Raw genomic sequence first — 7,039 nt, 5'->3', positions numbered from 1 at the left:
TGAGCTGGGCCCGTGAGGATGGGCTGAAACCCACGTCAGTTCTTCCTGGTGGGAGTGACCTTCAGAAGCCAGGACACTGCATCCCATTGCTGAACACTCACGCCTGTCCGGGGGCTGAAGGAAGCTCCAGGGGAGCCTGGCCCAGCTGAGTACAGGCCCAGTCACTGCAGAACAGCAACAAGGATTGTGGGCTGCAAAACGGCCACTGCTTCCCTTCTACTCCCACATCTCCCATGGGAAGCTGTCTGTAACCCACGCTAATAGAACACACCCAGAAAAAAGAATTCTGGAAAACGTAGGTCAACCTAGGCAAGCTGACACTTCACAAAGCCTCCATACTTAGTGAGCTAGAAGAAAGTGTCTCTGTTACAGAGAACACGAAGACTTAATTTTCTCAAATAAAAGATGATCTGAATGAATTGTTGTCCTGATAGCTATTTTTTTTTCTAAAAAGTAGTTCAAAATAACTAATATTTAGTGAGTGCTTGTTAGGCCCCAGGCATCATACTGAGCACCTCCTAGGTGCATATGCATTAACTTCCTAGGTGGCCTGCCTTCCTCCACTCTTGTCCCTCTACAATCCATCATCCACACCATGGCCTAAAACACCCATTAGATCATGCCACTCCACTGCTTACATCCTCCAGTGGCCTCCCTTTATGCACGGAATAAAATCCAGGTCCCAGCTGGTTCCATGAGCTCTCGTTCCTGTCCACTTCTCTGATCTCTCTCCATCATCATCCTCATACCTGGTGCTCCAGCCACACTGGCCTTCTGGCTGCTTCTTAAAATGTGAGGCTCATTGTTGATGTTCCCTTTGCTTAAATGGCTCTCCCTAGTATCTTTCTTCTCATCTTTCAGATCCCTGTAAAAAATAGTACTTTTTCAGAGAGGAATTCTCTGATCAGTGCATCTTTAAAAGTGTACACACACACACACACATACACACATACATACCCATCATTTACTTGAGCCCTATAGCATGGATTATTTTCTTGATAGAAAGCATCAGAATCTGAAATGATCTTGCTTATTTTCTTGTCTTATGTCTCCACCCCCACTAAAAGGTGAGCGTCAAAATGTTAGAGATGATAGTCAACCTTTGCTGTGTGACTGGAACAGGGCCTGCCATGTAGTGTGTCTCAATAAATATTTGTCGAATGAATGACTCTGTGATAAGTCTTCACAACAGTACTATAAAGTGGACATTTATCACCCTCCAGTTTTATAAAGGAAGAAACAAAGAATCAGAAAGGTGAGGTCAGCTTCTCAAAATAACCGGCTGGGGAGCACCAGAGCTGGGAGGTGAACCCATTTCTCTGTCCTGCCTCTCAGCTACTTAAGATAAAAAGCAATTCTAAGCTATATCTCAAATTATGCAACTATTCCAAAACTAGAGTTATCAATATTGTAGCTATTCCTTAACTTGGGTGCAGTGGCTCACGCATGTAATCCCAGCACTTTGAGAGGCCGAGGCGGGCGGATCACGAGGTCAGGAGATCGAGACCATCCTGGCTAACACAATGAAACCCCGTCTCTACTAAAAAATACAAAAAATTAGCCAGGTGTGGTGGTGTGCGCCTGCAAAAGGGAGGCAGTGGCCGTTTTGCAGCCCACAATCCTTGTTGCTGCTCTGCAGTGACTGGGCTCTGCAGGAGGCTGAGGCAGGAGAATGGCATGAACCCGGGAGGCAGAGCTTGCAGTGAGCTGAGATAGCACCACTGCACTCCAGCCTGGGCGACAGAACGAGACTCCGTCTCAAAAAAAAAAAAAAAAAAAAGCTATTTCTCATAAAAGACTACTTTGTGTGGTAACCCTGTTATAAACCCTCTGGTTAATCTTTGAGTTTACCCCACTTCCACTTCAACCAATACACACACTGAAAATCATTACTCAAAGTTAGATGTGTGTGTTTTGTTAAGCTTTACCTTGGCAAAGAAGGGTGTTGGATTTTTCCTGCCTTAAAGATCCTTGATGAAACCCTGCCTTTAACCTTGTTTCTCTTTCTTTTGTATATTGTGTTTTAACTTTATTCTATTTTGTTGCACTTTATGTGTCTTTTCAGGCCACCTAAATCCCCCTTAGTATAAGGCGAGCATAAATAATTAAATGAGACTACCTGAGTAGCAGGTATTATTCTGAGTAGCACTAGCAATCAATGGAGGTAAAATAATGAGATAAAATTTGAGTTTCAGCATTAAGAAGCCAGAGGGGTGGCCATTAAAATTGATGATCACAAAGAATGTAAAACTGCAAAGATGCTTACAGTGTAATGTGAGTAGGAAAGCTGAGTGTAAAATTGCATATTCAGTACTGCTTAGAACAATTTAAAAAATAAGACTGGAAGGAAATACAAATATACTCGGTTTTGTATAAATTGGAACTATGCAAATTGGAAAGAGTGTGATATACAAATGCAGTATCTCATTTTATAAATCAAACTTCATCAACATTTCAATGTTTCACTCTTCACGGCGGAGAATTGAAAGCTCATACAACACAAACAGTATACGGCAATAAACTCCCACACACCCATCACTCAACTTCAACAACCGTACATATTTTGTCATTCTTGTTCCATCGCTACACCTACTCTCCACCTTCAGGATTGTTTATCTGTTTAATTTACATAGATTGAAATTCAAAAATCTTAAATGTACAATTTTGACATCCATGGAACCGACTCCTCTTATTCCAGAAAGTTCCCTAGGATCCCTTTCCAGTCCACGTCCCTTACTCTGTTGCCTTCAACAGAGGCAACCGCTGTTGAAGTTTTCCACAATAGATTAGCTTTGCTAATTTAGAATGTCATTTGAATAGAATCACAAAATCCACACTCCTTTGTGTCTGACTTCTTTTGCTCAACATAAAGTCTACGGGATTCACCCAGGCTGTTGCCTCTGTCAGGAGCTTGTTCCTCTAATTTCTGAAATATGTTGTGTTAATTTGGTATTTTTTTTCCTCCTTGAATATTTAATGAAATTCACTAATGAGACCACTTGGGCTTGAAGAGTTCTTTGTGGTAAGATTTTTGATAATAAATTTAATTCTTTGGTAGGGGTAAGTCTATTCCTGTATCAGTTTTGGTAATTTGAGTTTTATAATGAATTTTTCCATTTCATCTACCTGGTTATATTTATTGTCATAAAGTTAACCATAGTATTCTTCTTTTAATTATTTTGAAAATTACATAATCTGTAATAATAATCCCTCTTTCATTTCCAGTGTTGATAATTTCTCTCCCTTTTTTTCTTAGTCATGCTTGCTTGAGGTTTATCTGTTTTGTTGATCTTTTCAGATAACTGACTTTTGACTTTATTGATTTTTTATTACATTAACTTCCGCTCTTCTCTTAATTTTTTGTTTATAGTTAACTTTCTCCTAGTCTTTATCTAAATTCGAAAAGTGGACAGTTAGATAATTAATTTTAGGCCTTTCTTCATTTTCTAATACATGTAAGCATTTGAAGCTATAGGTTTCTCTTCAGAAAGACCTATGATGAGAAAGAAAAAAAGAAAAAACAAAGCATCAAAGTCCTTGAGCAAACAAAAGGGAAGGGCACTCAGGACAGCAGTGGAAAGATTAAGTTTGGGTTAGTGGTGAAATACTCTCTTCTTTACCAAAGGAGGGAAAGAGGAGAGGATGGATAAAAATGAATAAACGTGGCCAGGCGTGGTGGCTCACACCTGTAATCCCAGCACTTTGGGAGGCCGAGGCGGGTGGATCACGAGGTCAGGAGATCGAGACCATCCTGGCTAATATGGTGAAACTCCGTCTCTACTAAAAATACAGAAAATTAGCCGGGCGTGGTGGCAGGCGCCTGTGGTCCTAGCTACTCCGGAGGCTGAGGCAGGAGAATGGCGTGAACCCAGGAGGCGCAGCTTGCAGTGAGCGGAGATCACGCCACTGCATTCCAGCCTGGGTGACAGAGTGAGACTTCGTCTCAAAAAAAAAAAAAAAAAAAAAAAGAATAACACATTTGCTGATGGGAAGTTGAGCACATTCTTATCTCATGGTTTGCATGTTCTCAGCAGGTATGAGGAGAGATCACCAACTGAGAGTGTGGGAGAGGAGACAGTGGGGACGGAAGGAGCAGAAAGGAAATGCTGTAAAACAGTCATGTTAGGGTGTGGAGAAGGGGATTTGGCAATTAAGGAGGACCGATGCATCAGTGGTGTGGAGTGCTTATGTGAGAATAATGGCTGTGATGTCTAAAGCAAAGCAGTTAACCTGGATCTGTGATTGTTTTTACCCAAAACTCAGCTGCTCATGTGCAGGCAATTTAGAAGGCAGCTATATGGATTGAGCCAGGGCTGGAATTTACCAAGTGAGCAAGGCAGTGGGGTTGGGGGATGGGGGACAGGTTTCCAGGGGACTGAAGGTAATATTTATGAAGAGGTGATTAAACTGAGCCATGAATTTGTAGCTGGGCAAGTAGAGAAGTGGGGATGAAGTTTGGAAGTCTCAACAAAATCAAAGGATTGTAGCATTGGGAATGCTGGAGTTAAGGACCTAGAAGTGGCATATACAGGCTCAAACCTTTAAAGTTGGGGTTTTGAGTTGAGGGAGATCTGGTTACCAGAGATGACAAGGAACAGATGTGACCATGGAAGAGGATAGAGGATGTAGAGTTGAAAAATATATTTGGAGGGGGTGAATCAAGGGACTCAGAGGCTAGAGGACGCTTTATGGTTCATCAGCACAGGGGTAGCGTAGACAGGATAAGTGAACAGCTAACACCTTCAGTGAGTGGTGGAGTGACTGGCAGGATAACAGATGGCAGGAAGGAGAAGGGAGAGAGACTGACAGAGCTAAGTAGCATGAGTTGAAATAAGAAAGGATTTGCAGGAGACAGGTGGGGGTGGTGAATTAGGAAGATATGGAAAGTGACCCTGAGGTCTTGGGCTGCGAGAGAAAACTCAGCCTCAGCTTGAGTGGCTTTCAGAGACACTAGGGCCTTCAAGGGGTGTCCAGCATCAGATAAGGAATGTTCCAAGGAAAGACTGAAGTTAGAGGAGGAGGAAGTGATCATAGAGCCTGAGTTCCAGGGAACACGTAACAGGGTTTAGGCAAACAGATGTGCAAAACCAACTCAGATTTGGTAGTGCAAAAAAGGTAAGATAAGATTGGGAAAGGAAGGGATATGGGAAATTTGATGAAAGGGGTGGTTACGACCACAGCTGTGAGTGATAGCTATGCCCTTGAGTGTCTTTTATGGGGTTTTAATTTCCTATCACTGCTGTAACAAGTTACTGCAAACTTGATAACTCAAAACGAAGTTATTATCTTACAGTTCTGGAGGTCATTAGGTCAAAAATGGGTCTCAATGAACTAAAATAAAGGGATCAGCAGGGCGTGTTTATTCTGGAGGCTCTAGGGGAAAACCTGTTCCTTTGCTTTTTCAAACTTCTAGAGGCTGCCTGCATTCCTCTGCTTGTGTCTCTTTCCTCTGTCTTCAAAACTCGCCATCTCTCTAGTTCTGATTCTTCTCCCTCCCTCGTCCTCATTTTAGGACTCTTACAATTATGTTAGATCCACCTGGAAAATCCAGGAGAATCTCTTTACTTTAAGGTCAGCTGATTGCAAACCTTCATTCCTCCCTACCATGTAACATAAAATATTCACAGGTCTGGCCAGGCGCGGTGACTCACACCTGTAATCCCAGCACTTTGGGAAGCCTAGGGGGGGGCAGATCATGAGGTCAGGGGTTCGAGACCAGCCTGACCAACATGGTGAAACCCCGTCACTACTAAAAATACAAAATTAGCATGGCATTGTGGCGCGTCCCCCTGTAATCCCAGCTACTCAGAAGGGTGAGACAGGAGAATTGCTTGAACCCAGGAGGCGGAGGTTGCAGTGAGCCGAGATGGTGCCACTGCACTCCAGCCTGGGTGATAGAGTGAGACTCTGTCTCAAGAACAACAACAAAATATTCACAGGTCCGGAGAATTAGGATGGGGACATCTTTGGGTGGAGGGGGAGGGCATTGTTGTGCCTACCACATAGTGTCCTGCTTAAGATGAAAGGGTGTGCATAGCCACCTACAGGAGCCGTGCCAGGTAGAACAGGAGGTGATGGGACAGGGGAGGTGAAGGGAATCGCAAATCAGCTACTGATTCCTTTCCAGGGATAGATCCACAGTGGCCCCAAAACTGTTCCAGGACCTCAACATGCAAGGATGGAACCCTGTTCTATGACAGTGGTTCCCAAACTTTACTAAGTATCTGAATCACCAGGAGGGTGTGTGAAAACAGATTTCCTCCTCTCCCCTGCCCATTTGGCTTCAATATGTTAAGGAGTATAGGCTAAGATTTGCATTTTGAAGTTCCCAGGAGATGCTAATGCTGCTGGTTCAGGAGCCACGCTCTGAGAACCAGCACCCTAAATGCTCTTGCTTCAAAAATTCTGTGAATTGAGATATGTTTGTTTGTATGTTTTTTTTTTGTTGTTGTTTTTTGTTGTTGGTGTTGTTCAAAGCATGGCACTTGTGGCCCAGCTGGAATCCCAGCTCCACCATGAATGGACTGTGTGACCCACTCTATTGCTCAGTCTCCACGTCTGTAAAATGGGCACAATACTAATCCCTACCTCATGGGAAAGTCATGAGGATTCAATGAGTTAATAATGTAAAGCATTTCCTAATGCTGTACAAAGTGTTATCTACCATTATTATTTTTTGAGATGGAGTCTCACTCTTGTCACCCAGGCTGGAGTGCAGTGGCATGATCTCAGCTCACTGCAACCTCCACCTCTTGGGTTCAAACGATTCTCCTGCCTCAGCCTCCCAAGTAGCTGGGATTACAGGTGTGCACCACCATGCCCAGCTAACTTTTGTATTTTTAGTAGAGACGGGGTTTCACCATGTTGGCCAGGCTGGTCTCAAACTCCTGACCTCAGGGGATCCGCCGGCCTCAGCCTCCCAAAGTTCTGCGACTACAGGCGTGAGACACTACGCCCAGCCCTATTATCTATTATTTTAAAACTTTATCAGCATAGAAAAAGGAAGAACTAGAGGAAACAGGAGTTTTAAAACAGAGGG

Source organism: Homo sapiens, chromosome 17, assembly GCF_000001405.40.
Source record: "Homo sapiens chromosome 17, GRCh38.p14 Primary Assembly".
In the NCBI taxonomy this organism is placed as follows: domain Eukaryota; kingdom Metazoa; phylum Chordata; class Mammalia; order Primates; family Hominidae; genus Homo; species Homo sapiens.
This window is presented reverse-complemented; position numbering follows the sequence as displayed.